General features: G+C 39.4%; 1 protein-coding gene across 9 annotated transcripts in view; it reads right to left on the reverse strand.

The window, feature by feature from the left end:
- PXDNL (peroxidasin like) overlaps positions 1–25,603 on the reverse strand; it is a 489,869-nt gene that overhangs the window by 162,919 nt on the left and 301,347 nt on the right. For 8 of the 9 annotated variants that reach the window (XR_007060701.1, XM_047421364.1, XM_047421365.1 and 5 more), the window contains 2 exons: positions 17,204–17,275; positions 1,148–1,219 (listed from right to left, as the gene is read on the reverse strand). Coding sequence is in view for 8 of the 9 variants with exons in the window: in XM_047421364.1 (XP_047277320.1) it covers positions 1,148–1,219; positions 17,204–17,275 (144 nt within the window). In the remaining variant the exon portion in view is untranslated. Of the gene's footprint in view, positions 1–1,147; positions 1,220–17,203; positions 17,276–17,838; positions 17,957–25,603 lie in introns of those variants that run through there. The other variant, XM_017013041.2, reaches the window with a different exon arrangement.

Below are 25,603 nucleotides of genomic sequence, written 5' to 3' on the forward strand. Positions count from 1 at the left end.
GCATGATTTGTTTTCAAATGTGAGGATATGAGATTTGGGAGGGGCCAGGGGCGGAATGATATGGTTTGGCTGTGTCCCCACCCAAATCTCATCTTGAATTGTAATAATCCCCATGTGTCAAGGGGACTAAATCATAGAGGCAGTTTCCCCCATATTGTTCTCATGGTAGTGAATAAGTCTCATGAGATCTGATGGTTTTATAAACAGGAGTTCCCTGCACAGGCTCTCTTGCCTGCCACCATGTAAGACATTCCTTTGCTCTCTCTTCATCTTCTGCCATGATTGTGAGGCCTCCCCAGCCATGAGGAACTGTGAGTCCATTAAACCTCCTTTTCTTTATAAGCTACCCAGTCATGGGTACGTCTTTATTAGCAGCAGGAGAACAGACTAATACAGCCTCCAAGGCCCATGATGGATACACCTGTGTGAGTTTTCCACTATGTGCTCTCTGACTGACATCTGGGAAGCAGGCATCTATCTTTTTCTGATAACTGGAACTTATACTTGTGTTTGGGGTTGAGGATTAGTGGAGGGGGTGGGTAACCACAAAATAAAGACATCAACAGTGTAGAAGGCTACACACAGATGGGAGTGAAGAGACAGCTGGAATGCAGGAGGGTGGAGACACAGGTGGAAAAAAGTGATGGACATCAGCCCACGGATGGGAGCAGGGAAGCTGTGGAGAACACAGACCTTGCAAGCATGGGGATTTTTGTTTTGTTTTGCTTAATGTAGGAGGAAATGAGTAGGAAGACAACTCCGTACAACAAGGGAAAACTGAAGCCTGGCCCGAGGAGTCAGACTTTCTTTGGAACTTCTCACATCTCTTATCTCATGAAAAAGTTAAAGGAAAAAGAAGTCTTGGGAGCCTTTAGATTTAGCCAGCAAGGATATTACAGAGAAACGAGGAAAACGTCTATTTTCAATACTCCTTTTGAATGTCACTTCTAAGAGAATACATGAAAGCCCAGAAGACTATCTGGGTTCTCTATCGCTCTGCAGTTAACAAAACCATTTTCTCCCTAACATGCTAGAATTGCAATGTCTTTCACAGGAAAAGCAGGAGAAGGCAACCAACCATTGTTTGGGATGGATTTTGGAGGAAATTATAAAAGGTTTTTGTGTTAATGCACTTGCTTTCACTTACAATCTTTTTAATGAATCCAGATTAGAAAAGCTCCCAGCTGGAATTTTAGATAATTTGTTGTTATGCAAAAATCTGAAAAAGAAAAGATAAACTTTAATCACCATACAATAATAATGAATTTGACAAACAAAACCTTTCTTTCACCTAACTGTGAATCCAATACCTTTTTTGAAATATTTCAGTGAGAAAGGGCAAACAGAAGTCAGAGTGTCATTTATACAACCATCTGTTTTAAAGATTTACATATCTCTATCTACCACTACTATATGGGTATTTTTTCACATCTGTGTACTTTTGATTTTTTTAGTTTACTTAGTTACAGATTACAAATGCTAAAGAGAAATACATAAAAATAAATATTTAAGTATGAGGAAATCAAAGTAAATAGTCAATGTATTCATTATCAGCAGGCAATGTATACATATATCAAATCAGCATGTTGTACACCTTGAATGCATACAATTTTTATTTGTGAACTAAATATTTTAAATTTAAATATTTTAAATTTAAAAATACAGGCGTGGTGGCTCACGCCTGTAATCCCAGCACTTTGGGAGGCCAAGCTGGGCGGATGACTTGAGGCCAGGAGTTCGAGACCAGCCTGGCCAACATGGTGAAACCCTGTCTACCAAATATACAAAAATTAGCCAGGCATGGTGGCAGGTACCTGTAATCCCAGCTACTCCAGAGGCTGAGGCATGAGAATTGCTTGAACTGGGCAGGCAGAGGTTTTAGTGAGCCGAGATTGCACCCCTACACTTCAGCCTGGGTGACAGAGCAAGACTCTGTCTCGAAAAAAAAAAAAAAGGCACAACAATATATGACAACAGATGCCTACAGATGTAGCATGAGTAACTGTTGTAATCCTGCAAATGTGGGATCACATGGAGATGTGCAAGCTCTGCCTGTCGCTTACTGGCCAGCACAGTTTTGCTGATCCAGAGTCCCGTTGGGTGCTGCTATGGTTACTGCTCAGCCAGCCATTTCTACATGTCCGGAGCTGGATCACAGAGAGGTGCACTTATGAGGTCATGCCCCATGCCAGGTGATGGAAGGTGGCGGGAGTAGGAGAAGATCCAGGCCTCAGTACCTCTCCCTCTCCCTCCACCCTAGTAGTCTTGCACTTGCTTTGGCTCCCTCCATGCTGCCTTGGCTATACCCATTCCCCTCATTATGACCAGAGAAATTATGACCAAGAAAAGCACCAGCCAGGGATTGTCTAGTCACCAGGACTACTGAATACATATTTGGCAAAGAGCCTATGTGTGAAGAGAGAAAACACGATGGTCTCTGCAATATAGAGAAAAGATGGAGACCAGTTTTCTTAAGACTCAAGGATATGAGCATAAATAATCAATTTATATCTGAAACTTAACTATTAGCTACATCCAGCCACTTTATGAGCTGTACTTCATGACTAGTATCTCTGTCACAAAATTAAATAAAATCATGTGGCCATATTTTCTTATCAGTGTTTTGGCTTTATGTTTTTGGCTTTATTTTAACTGTATTAAGTGTTAAGGTCAGGGGGAGTGAGCTGGGGCCAAACTATTTCTACTATTTTGGGAACTTGAATTTCACTGATGCACATCTGAGAAGATAAAAAGTTTTCCTGATCCTTCCTGTTTTGATTCCCTGTGCTTATCTTTACCGGCCCCATCTAATTTACCCAACTCAGAAGCAGTAGCTAGAAAAGAAATGATGATGTGAAGATGGATATTGACAAAGACTCTCTTCTTGACCAAACTCTACTCAGGTTCTCCTGAGCTCTTTTCCAACTAGTCCTGACTTTCGGATTTCCATGTCCATCTCTACATTGTCCGATTTTAGCAAGAACCCTGCTGCTAAGTTTAACCAGTACCTCCCACCCCTTGATACCTGAAATTCCTCATCCCCATCATTTCCCAGGTGATATTTGATCATCACCAAGATCATCACCCTATCCTGTTAAATAGGGTCAGCCTGAGCCTTTCTCCTAATGTTTCCTCTGAGTAATTTTCCATCCATTGGCTCCACCCTGCTCCTGGGCTATCAACTCCCACTTGCTCATGGCGTATTTGGAGTTCAGCCCAATCTTTCTCCCTCAGTGCAAAACTCCATTGCACTGGTCCCTATACCTATCACCATGGTCCCCCTTGAATAACATCTTTCTTGCCATGCTTTAACAAGTATTGTTGAATAACCTTTTCTTCAACAGTGTGCAGATGGATGACACAGTAATTCTCATTCTCTACCACAAGCCCTAGCCATATGCCATTTCCTTATCTTAAGGAACACTGGAACAGAGTTTCATGATGGAGAAACAGCTTATAGTAGATTGCACTAAACCTCGGGAAAAGCCAAATTACCAGGACAATTTATGCCTGCTTTATTTTTGCTAGGTAAAATGAAAGCTTTCTTCATTATTTTATAAGTGGTGCAGTTCTGCAAGATAACCACAGTAGAAAGACTGTTGTTCTTTCTTTAAACGTATTTTAGAGGCTGGAAATTGCATCCATGATTGAATATTGAAAGATATTATCTATTTTCCAATCCAAGCAGACCAGAATTAATTGCTTAACAGGCAAAACAAATCAAAAGAAAAGTAAAACATTTCCATCATCACAGATTTTGAAGCAAGGTATGTAAATATTGAAAAATCATTCTTGAATTTTTTTAATTTTGTACAAATGGTGACAAAATATCCAAATTAATGATATTTTACATCAGTTTATATCAAACATGATATATGATTCCCAAATCAGATATTACTGCTACTTGATATTTCTATAACAACTTGCTTTCAAGCAGATTAATCTAAGTCTCAGTCCCTTTATGTATAAAGGAAAAATTATGATAATAATAACTGTCATTGGTTATCTCCTAGAATACTATCCCAGTAGTATTCAGTAAATTAAAACAGTAGTACTGTTCCAGCAGTACTGATTTGCATGGGGTGCAAAAATGTATGCTTGTAGTTTCCTTTTTTTCTTTCTTCTTTCCAACTTTCCTGAAATTAATTTTCAAAACAGTTATGCAATGTATTTGTTGATTTCTGCTTGTAGATGACTTTGATTGCTTTACTCCCAACAAGAAGCTAAAAAGCACTTCTTCCTATGTTAAAAAGTTTATATATATATATATATATATATATATATATATATATATATATATTTTTTTTTTTTTTTTTTTTTTTTTTTGAGACGGAGTCTCACTCTTGCCAGGCTGCAGTGCAGTGGCACAATCTTGGCTCACTGAAACCTCCGCCTCCTGGGTTCAAGCAATTCTCCTGCCTCAGCCTCCCAAGTAGCTACAGGCGCATGCCACCCCGCCCAGCTAATTTTTTGTATTTTTGTAGAGACGGGGTTTCACCATGTTGGCCAGAATGGCCTCCATCTCTTGACCTCGTGATCGGCCCGCCCCGGCTTCCCAAAGTGCTGGGATTACAGGAGGGAGCCACCGCACCCGGCCGAAAAGTTTATATAATTATTTGCTGCTGCTGTCTTCTGTCAAAGATGCTTGATCAAAAAAATAATATTTGAGCAGTATCTACTTTTATACAAAGTTTATACAGAGTTTATACAAAGACTTGTCTCCTTCCTGTGACAGAAACATGCATATTATCTAAAAAAGTCAAGTCATGAATGAGCATTTTCCTCATAAATGTTCTAAGAAAGTAAATCTTCTGCCTAAGGTTTAGGTTAATGTTTCAAGATGTATCCCTTGAAAATCCAGGAGACTTTTGAGAAGTAGAGTTAAAGTCATATTCAGCTCCTACTCCTTGAGAAAACTTCGTGAAATGGCCTCAGCTTTAGTGAGGTGCATACCAGATAGAGAAAACATTGTCCAGTCTGGTCGACTCTGTGTTCTTTAATACCAACCATAAATTTTTAGCCAAAAAGTCCAAATTCTGTAATGCTTGACATACTTTAACGAAAGCACTCATTCAATTTTCTGCCGGAGCACCAAGCTCTAAAGTAACTTGAACATTTTAAACCACATGGCTCCACTAAATGTGCTTGGATTCTTTTGCTTGGTAACGTAGTAGTAAGAAGTTGATTGTGTTTGAAGATAAGACTTATCTTTTGGAGAAAACCTAACTTGGTAAAGTGAAGATTTTCAAATCAATCCTTCTTTTAATAGAAAAGAGGAAGATGCAGGACTTTCTTGATTGTATTGAGATCATGACTTCATTGAAAAGAACATTCCTATCCAGGTGTTAGAGGTTAGTACTTATGAATGTAACACAAAGGCGCTTTTGTCAAATCATAACAATAAAGAACCATTCTAGGCATTGTGCTGCTCCTGCTGAACGCACATTACTCGACTATGTGCAGTCTGCAGATAAAGTCATGGTAAATTTGCTTGAATTTAGAAATGCCTTAATAGGATAATTTTAGCACTAAAAAATATTATTTCAGCAAACAAATTTCAAAGTTCCGGGGAAAAGAATTTTAGTCCAAAATAGTGAAGTAGATATGCAAATCTTCCTCAATCTCTTTTGAATCTCCATTGAAATAATTACCAGGATGCTTAATAAGAAAAAATATATCCATATTCAAGAGGGCAGAATGTGGAAGTTCACCAACAGATAAGAGTATTCAGCAAATTCTGGAAAAATAAAATACATGAGAAAATGTTGACAGATGAAATAGGAGAGAAAGCTGCAGCCCAGAGAATCCTATGAGGCAGGAGCAATCTGACTGTGTGTCGCCCAGAGACCCCAAACAGTTACGGCAGGGGCAGAGGAGGGAGAAGTGAGATTGCAAACAAGGGTTCACAAAGACCTGGATGGAGAAACACAATAATTAGTAGCCACCATCCATACAGAACACCGACAGCTAAGAGGAAAATGTTATTGACATACTGATAGATGAGACAGACATAGAAATAGAGATTTTTTCCAAAGAAATTGAACAAATTGAAAGAAGAAAAGTAACGGAATTTTTGTGGAGCTGAAACTCAAGAGAAAAAGCCTTCCTCATTCTGGAATTTAGGAAGATAAATCTGCATTTTACATCCAATTGTTCAAACTAAAATTTACACCAAAGGGAAAATTTTGTAAGAAAATAAACTTATCTAAAGGAGAGCAGGTGAAACTCACACTACCAATTGAAATGCTATTAATTTCAAATATCAATAGACAATGAAGAATCACAAGGCATGGGAGGTTAATTAGGAACATGAAAAAGAAAGGCCAAGATTTTCAAAAAGGAAAACAATGCCAGAAGAAACAGGGAAATTCCAAGAACTAGAGAAAAAGAGTAAGAAAGCATTACAATTATTACATGTACTCAGAGACTGCAATATGTATCATACTTGTAAAACAAGGATAAGTTTCTATAGAAGACAAATCGGAAACAAGAAAGATCTCTTAGGAATTAAACTCTGATTAAAAAATGTTTTTATGTAGTAAATGTTAAAAAGTAAGTAAAACATACCAGGTTAGGAATCAAAATGACGAAATAACAGATATTATGAAACAAAAGATAAAAAATACAGAGATCCAGATGATCTAATATTCAATTAAGGTATCTCTAGAAGAGAAGACAGAAAGAATAAAGGGAAACATAGTCAAATAAATAATTAAAGAGAATCTTTCAAAATTGTGGATGGATTTGTCTTTACATTGAAAACTCCAATAATTGAAAAGTCTCATTCCTTGATGTAAATTTATAAGATCTTATTTTTATTTTAACTATATGTTTATTTAGAGACAGGTTCTCACCCTTCACTCAGGATGGAGTACAGTGGCCCAATCATGGTTCATTGCAGCCTCAACCTCCTAGGCTCAAGCAGTCCTCCTGCCTCACCCTCCCAAGTAGCTGAGACTACAGGTGCCTGCCATCATGCTCAGCTAATTTATTTTTATTTTTTGTAGAGATTGGGTTTTGCTATGTTGCCCAGGCTAGTCTGGAACTCCTGGGCTCAAGCAATCCTCCCACTTCAGCCTCTCAAAGTGCAGGCCATTACATTTGACCTGTAAGATTTTTAAAAATAAAGAATAATCATAAAATTTTAAACCTCTCTGTGAAAATAAAATTGATTTCCTATAAAATAGAATCATAATAGGCTAGAAGAAATAGAATGGATTCTTCAAAGATCAAGGGAAACTTCTTGAACTTATAATTTTATAACAGACAACCTATCAACTAATTATGAGGAAATAATACATACAATTTCAGGCATTCAAGGATTATCAAAACTATCTCCCTTAAGCCTTTTCATAGCAAGTTCTTCAACATGTATTCCAGCAGAACAAAGAAGTAACACAAGAAAAAGGAAGAATGGAGACCAGAAACCATGGACTTCACTCAAGCAATTAGTGAAGGGAAATCCCAGGTTTATGGCAGGTGACACTAATCCTAATGAAAAGCCAGTTCAAATTAGAAGACAGGGGTCTCTGGTGTAAAAGAGAAATGACATGGTTTATATAATTTGATTGTATAAAAAATGTGAAGATATTGCAAAGACACATAATGCATTTAGAATGTCCAGGAAAAGCAAAAATTATGTAAGAAAATAACAGTTCAAATATGAACCAAAGACATGACATTATTTTAAATAATTTAAATCACACAAGAAAATAGCCCTTTTATTAAGACAATTATTTTTGAAGTGGCCAGATTTATAATATTTACACATAGAGAAAGAAATAAAATCTGAGCATGTTTCCTGATCCTACAATAATTTAGTTAAAATGATATATACTTCTAATTGTTCAAGGTAATTTATGGTCAACAGCAAGAAATTTCATTGTAGTTGCAGGAAAAACGTTGAATATCTGAGTAATATAAAGATAATAACATAGCTAACAGAGTGAAGATGTAAAAGGTGAAGAAAATGCAAGTATGGGATTGGGTAGTAGTTTCAAAACTTTAAATAAAGAAGACAGGCTATCAAAATTAATGCCACAAGAATTAGAAGGTCAATTACATACCAATGAATGGACGAAATATGTATATGTATATATATATATTTAGTGGACTTTATTTATGAGTCACATATATATATACATATATATACATATATATACACATATATACATATATATACATATATACACATACAAATAGTTCACTCATCAGTATGTAATTGACTTTCTAGTGTGTGTGTGTGTGTGTGTGTGTGTGTGTGTGTGTATCACACAGGGGTAGCATAAGCAAGATAAATCCTCATCTTCAGAGTGAAAATTGATATCTCCTACAGTTGAAAATGAATGAAATAAAAATCTATTACCTAGCTGTGATGGTTAATACTGAGTGTTAATTTGATTGGATTGAAGGCTGCAAAATATTGATCCTTGGTGTGCTTGTGAGGGTGTTGCCAAAGGAGATTAACATTTGAGTCAGTGAACTGGGAAAGGCAGACCCACCCTTAATCTGAGTAGGCACCATCTAATCAGCTGCCGGCGTGGCCAGAATAAAAAGCAGGCAGAAGAACGTAAAAAGACTAGACTGGCTTAGCCTCCCAGACTACATTTTTCTACTGAGCTGCATTCTTCTTGCCCTCAAACATCAGACTCCAAATTCTTCAAGTCTGGGACTTAGACTGGCTTCCTTACTCCTCAGCTTGCAAATGGTCTATTGTGGGACCCTGTGATAATGTAAGTTAATATCCCTTAATAAACTCCCTTTTTTATACATCTATCTATCCTATTAATTCTGTCCCTCTAGAGAACCCTAATACACTAGACAATTATGATGGCAACAACCAAAGAATATAAAAGAGAAATACCTAAAAGAAGCTGCCTCTGGAGAGAGGGTCCAGGCTCGAGTTTTCTTTCAGGAGCTCTATTTTATGATATGATTTGATATCACATGTCTGTACTACAAGGTTAAAATAGATGCAAATATATTTAGACAATAGGAAAGAAACCAGAAGCTAAAACTTTTTTAGTTAGTCCATTCCCTGCCTTCCAAGCCCGCTGATGGATCCCAAGCTAAGAAGTCCCTTCTATAAAGGCAAACCCCACCACCACTGCCATGGGCCTGCCTGCCAGGGCTTCCACACCTCCCCAGGCAGCAGGACTCTCCCCTTCCCATCTTCACAGTTTTCAGGGCTGCTGTTGGTGAGGACTTTGAATCTTGGTGGTTTATTGGCTACACGACAAAAATACAAGGCTTGGTGGTTTATTGCTACACCACAAGAACACAAGGTTAACAATGTGACAAAGAAATTTCCCCCAAATTAAAGTTGGAGTCCCATGTCTTTTGAAGTTATTAACCATTGTGATGCTAAATCTTGAACAATCCATCTGTCTTGCACCAGGGCTGTCCTGCACAGGGCTGGCTCCCTGCTCACACAGGTTAGAGCAGAAAAGGAGTAGTATAACACACTTTCCTACCTCATTTCATATTCATGATCACATGTCTCCAGCACAAAGCAAACAAAAGCAAACCATGTGATTTTATGCCTTGCAACTGCTATACTTCTATAGGCAAATGAGGTTGCAGTAACTGCATAAGAAAGTGGTTGACTGGCTCTTCTTAGCCTTTAATTTTACTAATTTATTTTGTATATTAATTAAGGGCATCCTTTTTTAAACATAAATTTTTAATTCAAATTTTCTTTAAGGGAAAACATTTTTCTGCTTAAGGTTAGCTATGTAATTCTGCATTTTCTTTCTTTTCAGAGAGAAATAGCATATCATCAGCTAGATACAGTAAATTTATTGGGGTGGAGCCAAGATGGCCAAATAGGAACAGCTCCAGTCTACAGTTCCCAGCATGAGCGACACAGAAGACAGGTGATTTCTGCATTTCCAACTGAGGTACCGGGTTCATCTCACTGGAGAGTGTCAGAAAGTGGGTGCAGGACAGTGGGTGCAGCACACTGAGCATGAGCCAAAGCTGGGCAAGGCATCACCTCACCCAGAAAGCTCAAGGGGTCAGGGAATTCCCTTTCCTAGTCAAAGAAAGGGGTGACAGATGGCACCTGGAAAATCAGGCCACTCCCACCCTAATACTATGCTTTTCCAATAGTCTTAGCAAATGGCACACCAGGAGATTGTATCCCGCACCTGGCTCGGAGGGTCCTACGCCCACGGAGCCTCTCTCATTGCTAGCACAGCAGTCTCAGATCAAACTGCAAGGAGGTAGTGAGGCTGGGGGAGGGGCGCCTGCGATTGCCCAGGCTTGACTACGTAAACAAAGCAGCCCAGAAGCTCGAACTGGGTGGAGCCCACCGCAGCGTAAGGAGGCCTGCCTGCCTCTGTAGACTCCACCTCTGGGGGCAGGGCATAGCCAAACAAAAGGCAGCATAATCCTCTGCAGACTTAAATGTCCCTGTCTGACAGCTTTGAAGAGAGTAGTGGTTCTCCCAGCACCCAGCTGGAGACCTGAGAATGGACAAACTGCCTCCTCAAGTGGGTCTCTGAACCCTGAGTAGCCTAACTGGGAGGCACCCCCCAGTAGGGGCAGACTGACAACTCACACGGCCAGGTACTCCTCTGAGACAAAACTTCCAGAGGAACGATCAGGCAGCAACATTTGCTGCTCACCAATATCCACTGTTCTGCAGACTGCGCTGCTGATACCCAGGCAAACAGGATCTGGAGTGGACCTCCAGCAAACTCCAACAGACCTGCAGCTGAGGGTCCTGACTGTTAGAAGGAAAACTAACAAACAGAAAGGACATCTACACCAAAACCCCATCTGTACGTCACCATCATCAAAGACCAAAAGTAGATAAAACCACAAAGATGGGGAAAAAAACAGAGCACAAAAACTGGAAACTCTAAAAATCAGAGCGCCTCTCCTCCTCCAAAGGAAGGCAGCTCCTCACCAGCAACGGAACAAAGCTGGAAGGAGAATGACTTTTGACGAATTGAGAGAAGGTGTCAGATGATCAAACTACTCCGAGCTAAAGGAGGAAGTTCGAACCCATGGCAAAGAAGTTAAAAACCTTGAAAAAAAATTAGACGAATGGCTAACTAGAATAACCAATGCAGAGAAGTCCTTAAAGGACCTGATGGAGCTGAAAACCAAGGCACAAGAACTACATGACGAATGCACAAGCCTCAGTAGCCGATTTGATCATGTGGAAGAAACTGTATCAGTGATGGAAGATCAAATGAATGAAATGAAGCAAGAAGAGAAGTTTAGAGAAAAAAGAATAAAAAGAAATGAACAAAGCCTCCAAGAAATATGGGACTGTGTGAAAAGACCAAATCTACATCTGACTAGTGTACCTGAAAGTGACAGGGAGAATGGAACCAAGTTGGAAAACAGTCTGCAGGATATTATCCAGGAGAACTTCCCAATCTAGCAAGGCAGGCCAACATTCAAATTCAGGAAATACAGAGAACGCCACAAAGATACTCCTCAAGAAGAGTAACTCCAAGACACATAATTGTCAGATTCACCAAAGTTGAAATGAAGGAAAAAATGTTAAGGGCAGCCAGAGAGAAAGGTCGGGTTACCCACAAAGGGAAGCCCATCAGACTAACAGCGGATCTCTCAGCAGAAACTCTACAAGCCAGAAGAGAGTGGGGGCCAATATTCAACATTCTTAAAGAAAAGAATTTTCAACCCAGAATTTCATATCCAGCCAAACTAAGCTTCATAACTGAAGGATAAATAAAATACTTTACAGACAAACAAATGCTGAGAGACTTTGTCACCACCAGGCCTGCCCTAAAAGAGCTCCTGAAGGAAGCACTAAACATGGAAAGGAACAACCGGCACCACCCACTGCAAAAACATGCCAAATTGTAAAGACCATCGAGACTAGGAAGAAACTGCACCAACTAATGAGAAAATAACCAGCTAACATCATAATGACAGGATCAGATTCACACATAACAATATTAACCTTAAATGTAAATGGGCTAAATGCTCCAATTAAAAGACACAGACTGGCAAATTGGATAAAGAGTCAAGACCCATCAGTGTGCTGTATTTAGCAAACCCATCTCACGTGCAGAGACACACATAGGCTCAAAATAAAGGGATGGAAGAAGATCTACCAAGCAAATAGAAAACAACAAAAGGCAGGGGTTGCAATCCTAGTCTATGATAAAACAGACTTTAAACCAACAAAGATCAAAAGAGACAAAGAAGGCCATTACATAATGGTGAAGGGATCAATTCAACAAGAAGAGCTAACTCTCCTAAATATATATGCACCCAATACAGGAGCACCCAGATTCATAAAGCAAGTACTTAGAGACCTACAAAGAGACTTAGAATCCCACACAATAATAATGGGAGACTTTAACACCCCACTGTCAACATTAGACAGATCAACGAGACAGAAAGTTAACAAGGATATCCAGGAATTGAACTCGGCTCTGCACCAAGCAGACCTAATAGACATCTACAGAACTCTCCACCCCAAATCAACAGAATATACATTCTTTTCAGCACCACACCACACCTATTCCAAAATTGACCACATAGTTGGAAGTAAAGCACTCCTCAGCAAAAGGAAAAGAACAGAAATTACAACAAACTGTCTCTCAGACCACAGTGCAATCAAACTAGAACCCAGGATTAAGAAACTCACTCAAAACCACTCAACTACATGGAAACTGAACAACCTGCTCCTGAATGACTACTGGGTACATAACAAAATGAAGGCAGAAATAAAGATGTTCTTTGAAACCAATGAGAACAAAGACACAACATACCAGAATCTCTGGGACACATTCAAAGCAGTGTGTAGAGGGAAATTTATAGCACTAAATGCCCACAAGAGAAAGCAAGAAAGATCTAAAATTGACACCCTAACATCACAATTAAAAGAACTAGAAAAGCAAGAGCAAACACATTCAAAAGCTAGCAGAAGGCAAGAAATAACTAAGATCAGAGCAGAATTGAAGGAAATAGAGACACAAAAAACCCTTCAAAAAATCAATGAATCCAGGAGCTGGTTTTTGAAAAGATCAACAAAATTGATAGACCGCTAGCAAGACTAATAAAGAAGAAAAGAGAGAAGAATCAAATAGATGCAATAAAAAATGATAAAGGGGATATCACCACCGATCCCACAGACACACAAACTACCATCAGAGAATACTATAAACACCTCTATGCAAATAAACTAGAAAATCTAGAAGAAATGGATAAATTCCTCGACACATACACCCTCCCAAGACTAAACCAGGAAGAAGTTGAATCTCTGAATAGACCAATAACAGGCTCTGAAAGTGAGGCAATAATTAATAGCTTACCAACCAAAAAAAGGCCAGGACCAGAAGGAGTCACAGCCAAATTCTACCAGAGGTACCAGGAGGAGCTGGTACCATTCCTTCTGAAACTATTCCAATCAACAGAAAAAGAGGGAATCCTCTCTAACTCATTTTATGAGGCTGGCATCATCCTGATACCAAAGCCTGGCAGAGACACAACAAAAAAAGAGAATTTTAGACCAATGACCCTGATGAACATCGATGCAAAAATCCTCAATAAAATACTGGCAAACCGAATCCAGCAGCACATCAAAAAGCTTATCCACCATGATCAAGTGGGCTTCATCCCTGGGATGCAAGGCTGGTTCAACATATGGAAATCAATAAATGTAATCCAGCATATAAACAGAACCAATGACAAAAACCATATGATTATCTCAATAGATGCAGAAAAGGCCTTTGACAAAATTCAACAACCTTCATGCTAAAAACTCTCAATAAATTAGGTATTGATGAGATGTATCTCAAAATAATAAGAACTATCTATGACAAACCTACAGCCAATATCATACTGAATGGGCAAAAACTGGAAGCATTCCCTTTGAAAATGGGCACAAGACAGGGATGCCCTCTCTCACCACTCCTATTCAACATAGTGCTGGAAGTTCTGGCCAGGGCAATTAGGCAGGAGAAGGAAATAAAGGGTATTCAATCAGGAAAAGAGGAAGTCAAATTGTCCCTGTTTGCAGATGACATGATTGTATATTTAGAAAACCCCGTCGTCTCAGCCCAAAATCTTCTTAAGCTGATAGGCAACTTCAGCAAAGTCTCAAGATACAGGATACAAAATCAATGTGCAAAAATCACAAGCATTCTTATACACCAATAACAGACAAACAGAGAGCCAAATCATGAGTGAAATCCCATTCACAATTGCTTCAAAGAGAATGAAATACCTAGGAATCCAACTTGCAAGGGACGTGAAGGACCCCCAAGGAGAACTACAAACCACTGCTCAATGAAATAAAAGAGGATACAAACAAATGGAAGAACATTCCATGCTCATGGGTAGGAAGAATCAATGTCATGAAAATGGCCAACTGCCCAAGGTAATTTATAGATTCAATGCCATCCCCATCAAGCTACCAATGACTTTCTTCACAGAATTGGAAAAAACTACTTTAAAGTTCATATAGAACCAAAAAAGAGCCCGGATTGCCAAGTCAATCCTAAGCCAAAAGAACAAAGCTGGAGGCATCACCCTACCTGACTTCAAACTATACTACAAGGCTACAGTAACCAAAACAGCATGGTACTGGCACCAAAACAGAGACAGAGACCTATGGAACAGAACAGAGCCCTCAGAAATAATGCCGCATATCTACAACCATCTGATCTTTGACAAACCTGATGGAAACAAGAAATAGGGAAAGGATTCCCTATTTAATAAATGGTGCTGGGAAAACTGGCTAGCCATATGTAGAAAGCTGAAACTGGATCCCTTCCTGACACCTTATACAAAAATTCACTCGAGATGGATTAAAGACTTAAATGTTAGACCCAAAACATAAAAACCCTAGAAGAAAACCTAGGCAATACCATTCAGGACATAGGCATGGGCAAGGACTTCATGTCTAAAACACCAAAAGCAATGGCAACAAAATCCAAAATTGACAAACAGGATCTAATTAAACTAAAGAGCTTCTGCACAGCAAAAGAAACTACCATCAGAGTGAACAGGCAACCTACAGACTAGGAGAAAATTTTTGCAATCTACTCATCTGACAAAGGGCTAATATCCAGAATCTACACTGAACTCAAATTTACAAGAAAAAAGCAAACAACCCCATCAAAAAGTGGGTGAAGGACACGAACAGACACTTCTCAAAAGAAGACATTTATGCAGCCAACAGACACTTAAAAAAATGCTCATCATCATTGGCCATCAGAGAAATGCAAATCAAAACCACAATGAGATACCATCTCACACCAGTTAGAATGACGATCATTAAAAAGTCAGGAAACAACAGGTGCTGGAGAGGATGTGGAGAAACAGGAACACTTTTACACTGTGGGTGGGACTCTAAACTAGTTTAACCATTGTGGAAGTCAGTGTGGTGATTCCTCAGGGATCTAGAACTAGAAATATCATTTGACCCAGCCATCCCATTACTGGGTATATACCCAAAGGATTATAAATCATGCTGCTATAAAGACACATGCACATGTATGTTTATTGTGGCACTATTCACAATAGCAAAGACTTGGAACCAACCCAAATGTCCAACAATGATAGACTGGATTAAGAAAATATGGCACATATACACCATGGAATACTATGCAGCCATAAAAAGTGATGAGTTCATGTCCTTTGTAGGGACATGGATGAAACTGGAAACCATCATTCTCAGCAAACTATCGCAAGGACAGAAAACGAAACACCGCATGTTGTCACTCATAGGTGGGAATTGAACAATGAGAACACATGGACACAGGAAGGGAAACATCACACACCGGGGCCTGTTGTGGGGTCGGGGGAGGGGGGAGGGATAGCATTAGGAGATATACCTAATGTTAAATAATGACTTAATGGGTGCAGCACACCAACATGGCACATGTATACATATGTAACTAACCTGCATGTTGTACACATGTACCCTAAAACTTAAAGTATAATAAAAAAATTAAATAAATAAATAAATTTATTAATATAAGGTATTAGAAAAACTGAAGTAGCAGAGTAACTTCATTTGATAAAAGACAAAACAGAAGAAGGATATCCAAGTGCCCTTGTTGTTTGTCATTGTTTATTTAATAAGCCTTTATTGAAATACAACATTCATCTGGAAAAGTGTAGACATCGTGATGTAGAGTACAATGCCTTGCCTGAAAGTGAACACAGCTGTGTAATTACCACCCAGGAAAAACCAAGAATACAAAACATTGCCAGGCCTACGGAGGCTCCTCCTGCCATTTCCAATGGCCTCTCTCCTACTAAAGGTAAGCACCATTCAACTTCTCAATACCACATATATTTCTGCTACCTCTTTTAAAATTTCTTTTGAGAATAAAATAGAACTATGCAAGTTTCAGCGTTTAGATTATTATTCTCAGAATGTTTCTGACATCCATCCGTGTTGCAGTATAGTATTATATTTTATGAATATACAACAGCTTATTTCTCTACTCTTTTGTTGTTGGAGACTTGAGTAGTTCTCAGTGTGGAGCTACCAGAAACAATGCTGCTGCAATACAAGAACACATCTTCTGGTGCGTACATATGTGAATTTCTGCTGTGCATGTTCCTGAAAGTGAAACTGCTAGATCTTAGGGGATGTATATGTTCAACTATACTAGATTCTGCTGTAAGGTTATGTTTGTTTGTTTGTTTTTGAGATGGAGTCTCACTCTGTCACCCAGGCTGGAGTGCAGTGGCACGATCTCGGCTCACTGCAACCTACGCCTCCCGGACTCAAGTGATTCTCATGCCTCAGCCTCCTGAGTAGCTGGGATTACAGGAGTGTGCCACCAGGTCCAGCTACTTTTTTGTATTTTTAGCAGAGGCAGGGTTTCACTATCTTGGCCAAGCTGGTATCGAACTCCTGAACTCAGGTGATCCGCCCACCTCGGCCTCCCAAAGTACTGGGATTACAGGTGTGAGCCACCTTGCCTGACCCCTGATGTAAGTTTTTTAAATAGCTTTCTCTCATTTGTGAAGTGCTTCTTCCTCTCTTTTGCCCTGTTTTTCATTGGCTATTTCACCTTTTCTCCATTGATCTTAAAGTATAGAAAGCTTTATATTAACTCTGTTTTGTAGTGCCAAGGTACAGGCTCTGCCTCTAAAGCTTACAGCAAAGTGGCCTGATCTCCACGGCAGTCAGATGGGTTGTATAAATGGAAAATGTAAAGCAGAAGCAAAGGACATCTAAAGGGTCAACACTTACAGTCGCTCTAATCTCAGAAGGTCTCCAAAGGTCTCTGGCTGTAGCATTTCTAGTTGGTTGAAATGAATATACCTGGAAGGCAAAAAATCAAGTTGGTTACTCCTTGTGCTGGTGAGTAAAATAAAATGTTTGAAGAATTAGCAATTGCTTCAGCTGAAATTATGAATTTCACTGGCCCCAACCACTATATATCACATACAAAAATCAGAAACTCTGAGATATTTTGTCTCTTCTGTTCGTCACAGTCCCGGGTCTAAAAACCTGATGTTCCAAAGGGGAATCCAAAGCCCACCCAGAAAGGAGCATGATGCTGCCCCCTTTTCCCAGGGAGCCTCTTGAGTCGATGCTAACTGGTTGTTGAAATTACTCTTTTATTCATTAAAATGTTTAAAGTAAGCAAAGTTACGGTAATAATTAAGATTACAAACATAATAAGATACATTACAAGTGACCACATGCTTATTTACATTTCAGAACAGGGAGAAGTGTCCTGTCTGACGGAGTCAAAGTATGGCATATTTGATGTCATATGATCATCATACTTGAAATGAATTAATCTTAACCCTGGGGGATGGATGAGAAGTAATGTGTCTTGTTTTAATCCTTTTGGAATTAGGAATTAGACTTTTTCAGACCTTGGTATCCCCTCTGTGCAACTGATCCAGGAGTTATTTCCTAAGCTTCCATTTCAGAAAGGCTTCTCTTAAAGCAGGGCAACTGAAGACAGAAAGGCTTGCATTTCCTTCAGAAATCCTGTGATGAAATGGAGAAGCATGTTTCCAAAGCAGACAGTTGAGCAGACCTTTGTGAAGCAAATCTTCCCAACAGACAGAAAGATCCATGGGGAAGGCTGCACACTCCTCTTAGAAAATTTAAGTGTATTCCCTGCACCTGACTTCTGAACACAGCTTTTTCAAACAATCTCAGTGAAACCAACAGTGATATATAGCAGTCTATAGTGAACTGCTGAAGAAAGCACTGCAGATACAAAGTTTCCATGAAAAGTAACAAACTTTCACACCAAATTGGAAAAGAGGATATTGTACATTTATGTGGGAAGACACAGTGAATAGTACTTGATTTTGTCAATGGGAAGCTCTCTGACTTGAAGTAATGGCAGGCAAGTAAAAAGAAAGCTTTACAACCCACGTTTCCATAAAATGTATTTATTTCATCACAGTTAGAAATATTTTTGAAAGGAGAAAAGAAAAATGTTTAAGAAAAAGAAATACTTTTACTTCATTCCTAGGCTTCCTTCTTATAAATCATTATTATAGTAAGAGTACTTCAGACACCTAATGAAAAAGTATAATAATCACAAGAGAATGAAAACCATGTCACTGGAAAGGTATGATTGTTTCAGACTGCCTTAGGTTGGATCCAGAAGCAGTGCCACACTGTACTACTCTCTGAAATTCAGCATCCTGGCCCGTATCCCATGCATTCCTCCCAGGAGTTCTGTTCATTTTAAAAGTGGTGACATTTTACCGTGGTGACATTGTATAAGACCTGGCAATAATTGCCTTTGGGTTAGCATGAAACAACTTTACCTTGGTTGCCTTGAATTATACACACACTCACACTCACTAACAGACTCTCACACACACAGACACTCTCAGCTTCACACATACTTTCATACTGACACACACTCTCACATTGTCTCACACTGACACACTCTGACACACCTACATGAACACACTCTCACATGCTCAGACTCCCTCATACCCACACATGCTCACACTCACACACTTACATATACTCATATGCACTACCACACTTACACTAACACACACACGGACACTCGTGCACACTCACACTTGTTCACATACACTCTCACATACACTAACACACAGCATCACACTCAGATACACATCTACACACTCACACACACTCACCTAATCTCACACACTCACACTGTCATGCTCACACTCACACTGTCTCATGTACACTAACACACTTTCACGCACTGACACATGTATTCACATATATGCTCACATACACTAACACAGTCACACACACATACTCCCACACACTCACACACTGTCCCCCACAAAATCATTACCTGTGTCATTGGTCTAGCACATTAAAAAGGAGGTAGGGGCTGGGAGAGTGAAAGAGGATGTGGGGGAGGAGTGTTAGGCAGAGACTGGCTGCTGAAAGCAGGGAAGAGAGAGAAGTCTCTGTGACTGCAGTGAAGAAAGAGTTAGAAGGAGGGTCCATTACAAGGTTTCTCTTCCCAAGTGAAATGTATCGCATGGTTGGATTCCAATCTCTGTGTATACTGGACAGGCCCAGGCCTGTAGAGTACAAATAGACATTTTATGAAGACTAGGAATAAGTGCTGATGAGGGCATCAAACTTAGCATAAAGTAAATAAGAGCAACAGCAAAAAAAAATTTATTGTCCTAAGTGCTTTACATGTATTTAGTCATTTTTAATTTTTGCAACTACACTGTGTGGTAGGTTCTATAAATACACCATTATTTACTTAGGAAAAATGTGGTACAGAGATAAAGTAATTTGTTCAATTTCACACAGCCAGCCTCTCTAGCAGCAAGTGGGGGGCGGCCGTGCACAGGCTCAGCTGACACAGATCACCCAGAGATGAGCTATGGAAACCTGATCCAAGAATCCCGGAGCAGAGCCTTTCTTGGGTATGGAAACAGATACTCCACAGGGAGAAGGAAAGTGCCCAAAGCCACAAAGCCAATCAATGGTAAATCCAAGCCACAAACCCAGCAAAACCCATGCTCTCTACACTCCTGTTCTCAGTTTGCCTACATTAGTGGCTTTTTAAATGTGAAGCTGTGGGGTTCTTAACTGGAGGCAAGCATCACATTCCAGTCATAAAACAACCTAACAGGTCACAGGAAAGGAGTCACGAGCCGGGTCTGTGGTTTAGCCAACCTAACAACTCCCAGATTTTCAAAGGGAGTATTCTAGCTTATGTATAAGCCCAGTAGAAGTGTTTTTTTTTTTCCTTTCAACTTTTTAATGCTTTGAAACAATTTATTATAAAGAAAACTTGAGTTTAGCATAAGAATTTTTAAGTAGCACTAGTATTCCTGCCATCATTGATCAAATGTGCATCCTCCATAGTTTGCACAGGTGTCTGCATTGCTAGAAGTAGAAAGACAGCTTTCGCTTGGGAGGGCATCTTATATACTGAGCCACCTAAAATTAGAGCAAAGAGACAATCTAAGGGGTAGAATAACATACAACAGTTTATCCAATATCACTTAGCTACTATGTGTTTTATTATCCACAGTAATTAATAATTATCGATTTAATATTTAAATATTTCACAGGTAGCAATTCATATTTACTATGAATTGCTCATAATTCATGAGAAATGCATAATCTCCTTTTCCACAATGCACCCACTGAGAGCCCACTAATCACAGAGCCCTGTCTATTCCCCATTCCAGCCATGCTTCCCTAGAATAAATCACTGCAATCTTAGACTCACCCAGAGATGCCCTGAAGGACAAATGTTTTCTGCTGGACTTCAATCTAATACACAGTAGGGTAAGCAACTGGTATTGGAATTCACTACTAATGAATGAGAAAAATGCATGTAAGTAGACTTTGTTCCTTGCAGGAAAGTAAGACAACCCAGAGAGTTCTGTTGATTATAGTGCAAGCATATTTAAGTTTTGTGTCCATATGATTTGACAAATTTTCTAACAAAATCTTTTTCAAAATTTTTTTTAAAACTTTAAGCCAATTTAAAGCAGTAGGATGTTTTAGGTTATATGTGTTTGATTTATGTGATGGCTTTAGCAGATTCAAATAAGGAGGGAGTCAGCTTTGATCTCCACTCCCTTCTGTGCCTTGATAAGAGAGCAAGACTATCCTCTCCTACATCTTATTTTTCTAGGCTGTGGATAACCCTGCCATTTTTGGATATCTATTGCAGGTAGATAAATATGAATGATTACTTGAGAGGATTTTAAATCTGTTTAAGTCACTTCATAAAGTTTATATGTAAATGAATTACTAGTTATCCCTTTATTTAAAGCAGGCAGGAAATTATTGCCATTGTCATGTCATGTTGATTCATACTTAGCTTCCCCAGATGATTTCATCAACATCCATGGCTTCAATTATTATCTCTATGCAGAAGACCTACAAATTACATATCCAACCCAAATTTACCTCTAGGACCTAAATTCATGCACCCAATGTCTTCTTAAAATATCATCTAGATGTCTCAAGGAACCTCAAATCCAACATGTCTGAAACCCAGCCCAGGAATCCTCCTTCACCATACTGGCTGTCCTCCATTTTTGCTTGTCTCAATTTATGGCACTGCTGTATATCTATTTGCGCAACTCAGAAAACTAGCAATGACCCCTCTGTCTCCCTCACTCCCTGTATCTTACCCAATTCTGCGTTTTTTATTTTGCCTCCTAAATATCTCTTGAATGTATTCCATTCTCCTCTTACCCACTACTTCCACACTAGAGCAAACTATACCCTCGGTTACTAAAATACAAGAACAAACTGGTCTGCCTACATCTATCTGGTCTACCCTCAATAGAAATATAAGACCCTTAAATGGCTTTTAATTTCTATAGAAATAAAGACAGAATTTTTTCAACAGAGCCCAAGTTCCAGCCTGGTCTTGCCTGTAAATGCCCTTCCAGTATCCCCTTTATCCCCTTCTTGCTCTACCTCAATCCCAGTGCTCTGGCCTCCTCCCAGCCACATACCTGCCATACTCCTGCCTACAGCAGTCTCTGAATGATTGTCTTTGTAGCCCAGTAAACCTTCCCACCCTTCTTGCCTGGTAATTCTGGACCTGTTTTCAGATCTTACTGTGCTCTTTCCTTGGAAAGCCTTCCCTGAGCTCCTGGTCAAATCCCCCTGTTATGGGCTCACCCAGCATTGTACTGTTGCAATGTAATATTTGAGTGATTATGTAATCCATGCCTGTCTGCCCTAACGAAACTCTAAGATCCATGAAGACAGAAATTATATTGGATTTAAAGTAATATTCACATCCCTAGTTTCTTAGCAGAGTTTGACAAATAGATAGTCAGTACATAGTTGATCACTGAAAGAATGAATGACCAGCCAGTATTTTTGCATGAGCATTGTCTTTGCAAACGTGAGGATAAGACATTGAACTTTTCATATGTTCTATGGTATAAAGCAAAAGATGGGAGTATGAATCCTAATAAAAGCTTTCTGAGTTAATATCAGCTCAACAATCTATAATGGCATTACATTTCCTTGGGGAAGAACCATCCCAAACATTTACACAAGTCTGACTTTAGTAAGCTCTGTCATAATGTATGTTTAATTGTATCTCCTAAAACTTTGTAGAATCCTTGAGCACTAATGAACCTAGAGGGCATCTAGCAAAGTCTTCCTGGGGCTTCTCCAAGAGAATCCATCTCACTCCAAAGGGACATGTTTGAATCACACATTTTTGTGAGCACTGACAACACATTTGACATCTCGTATCTGAGTAAATATTTATTTACACAACCACCCCGAGGTATCAGGCCACCAAAGAGAGGACAAAAATCTTCCTATGATCTTTAAAACATGCAGAGCAAGAACATGTGGTCAGAGAATGACAACAAAAATAATAGAGAGAGAATGATTCTCAGTGTGAGAAGTTGCTGGTATCGCTGGTATCGCTTTAGCTTTCAGCGTGAACTCACTGAGCCACATAAAAACAAATGTTCTGTGCCGTATGATCACCTTGGCAACCCCGATCTAAGGCAAGAGCAGAGATGGGGAGAAAAACACTATATTTATCTGTATCTAACTGCACAATCAAAATAGCATATACGGTCAATGTTCTCAACCTTTTTGTACAAAGTGGCTGCTTTTTATTTTCTCAAAATCCATGAGATTGTAAAGAAAAAAGGAGTACTGTTGGCAGAAGGAGGCTGCACACCAGAGTGTCTCTGTGTCTCTGTGTGTCTGTGTATGTAATTTTGCATGTGTCTATATGTGTGTAACATAAGCTAAGGACATCTGAATCTGAAGCTTGCAATACAGGGGATCTTGAATATAAGATGTCAACAATCCTAGCACATGAAACAGAGCTCAGAGGAAAAGCAGTTTGCTGACAGCTGGCTTGGAGATCCACCATGTCCTGCCTCACATCCACAGGCTGGGTGCATTGAGATGACACAAACTTTCTGTATAATAATCTCAGCTAAGATTAAAATAGGCACGCTTTAGCTTCATTGCACAATAGCAAGCAAGAATTATCTATTACACCAACAAATTATTCATACTATTCAGGAATTAATTAAACATCTGAATGAAGATCCTTATTTCAGAGCACGGTAAATTATTTCAACTGATTTTAAAGGAAAAATTGACTGAATTATCATAATCTGTTAGTTTCCAGAGAAAAGCTTTCCAGCATCTCATTTGCATGCTGTGCTAAAGTCAATAACAGTGTATTCTACCAAAATTCATTATAAAGAGAATTATATTTATTCTTAAAGAGTTAAAACCAGTTAAAAATCATACTGCACAAGCTTCACTCTTTGGGAAGTTATTTCAATCCTAAATTAGAATAGTTACAGAAAAAGGCTGGGCACAGTGGCTCACGCCTATAATCCCAGCACTTTGGGAGGCCAAGGCGGGCGGATCACGAGATCAGGAGATTGAGACCATCCTGGCCAACATGGTGAAACCCCGTCTCTACTAAAAATACAAAAATTAGCTGGGCATGGTGGCGCGTGCCTGTAATCCCAGCTACTCGGGAGGCTGAGGCAGGAGAATCGCTTGAACCAGGGATTCGGAGGTTGCAGTGAGCCGAGATCGCACCACTGCACTCCAGCCTGGGTGACAGAGTGAGACTCTGTCTCAAAAAAAAAAAAAAAAAAAAAAAAAAAACTAGTTACAGAAAAAGTCATGTTTCTACAATAGTTTAGATACAGTATGATTGAGAGTTATGAAAAATCTTTCTCACTCTTTGTTCAATCTCTACCTCTTTTTGCCTGAACTAATAGCTATAAATGTTCCATGTAAATCCAGTCTCTTCTTTCCAATCTACACTATGTTGAATTATTTGGTGGTTCTTCCTGGAAAAATGCAGATTAGACCATCCCCTTTATTAAGGATCATCAATGTCTTCTCACTGTCTTTAGCAGGAATTCAAGGCTTTTCAAGATTGAGCGCCAACCTGTGACTTTCCCCTCCCTCATAAGTCTGAGCACCCTCTAACCAAATTCATTATCTCTGGAAACTCTCCGATTTTTTTCATAGTGTCTAACAGTCAAAGTGTTTTCTCACCCATTTAAGATCAACAGTACTTTTTTTTCCATTAAGGACTTAGTGACTGCTTGTGTCAGATGTAACTTCATTCCTCTGGCTCCTTTAGTATATTAAAACATTAATAAGTACTTATTGAGTGCCCGTGAAGTGTGAGACAAGATCCTTGACCGTCTCAGAGACTGGAATTAGGTGAGTGGTCAAATACAAGGAATCAATGACCACAGTCTTGTAGAATACCTATTATAATAATGGGATGCAAGGAATACCATGAGAATCCAAATATCTACATTAGATTTAAAGATAAAGAAAGGTTATACAAAGAAAAGGATTCTCTACCTAACTTTTGTGGACAAACAGTACTGACCTAGATGCAAAAGAGAAAAGACAGTGTAGAAAGTGGGGAGACAAATGTATGTGAAGTGCAGAGATATGAAAATGCAGGACTCTTGCACAGAACAGTAAGGAGCTGAGCGGGACAGAAGCACTGGTTGCCTGCAGAACTCTGCAAAGATGGACTTGGGCAGGAACTGAATCACACATTTCCTTTGTGCTCAACAAGGTGATTTGAACTTTACCTTAAAGATATAAGGACACATGACAAGATTCAAAGAAATGAAATTTCTAAGTGAAATTTTTATTTTACAACATTGCCAGCAGCTATGCAAACAAAGGACTGGAAGTTAGCTAGAGAGAGACTCCAGCTAGAGCAATGGTTTGCAGTGGTTTTCAGCTTAGGATGATTTTGTTTTGTCCCCCTCCATCCTCCCAGGGAATATCTGGCAATGTCTGGAGATGCTTTTAGTTGTCGCAGCTGGAAGTGGTGGTGCTACTAGCCTCCAGTGGGGAGGGACCAGGGTGTTGCTCAACGTCCTATCCTACATGACCTGGGCCAGCCCCACAACATTACTAAGCCCAAAATGTCAACAGTGCCAGGTTGAGAAACACCTGAGCTACAGCCTGCTTTATTTTCTGAGCGGGAAGGAGTGGTGGTGACGATGCCTGCCATGTGGAGCCTCAATTGAAGGCTGCAAGAGCTTTTCCAAAGGATCCTAGAAAAATGAAATGATAGAAAACTATTAAAGGGGTGCCAAATAAGAAGGGGAAAGAATTAATAGAAGCAAAGTGAGGAAGACCCTGCACAGGACCAAT

This window comes from Homo sapiens, chromosome 8, assembly GCF_000001405.40.
Source record: "Homo sapiens chromosome 8, GRCh38.p14 Primary Assembly".
NCBI classification, from domain to species: domain Eukaryota; kingdom Metazoa; phylum Chordata; class Mammalia; order Primates; family Hominidae; genus Homo; species Homo sapiens.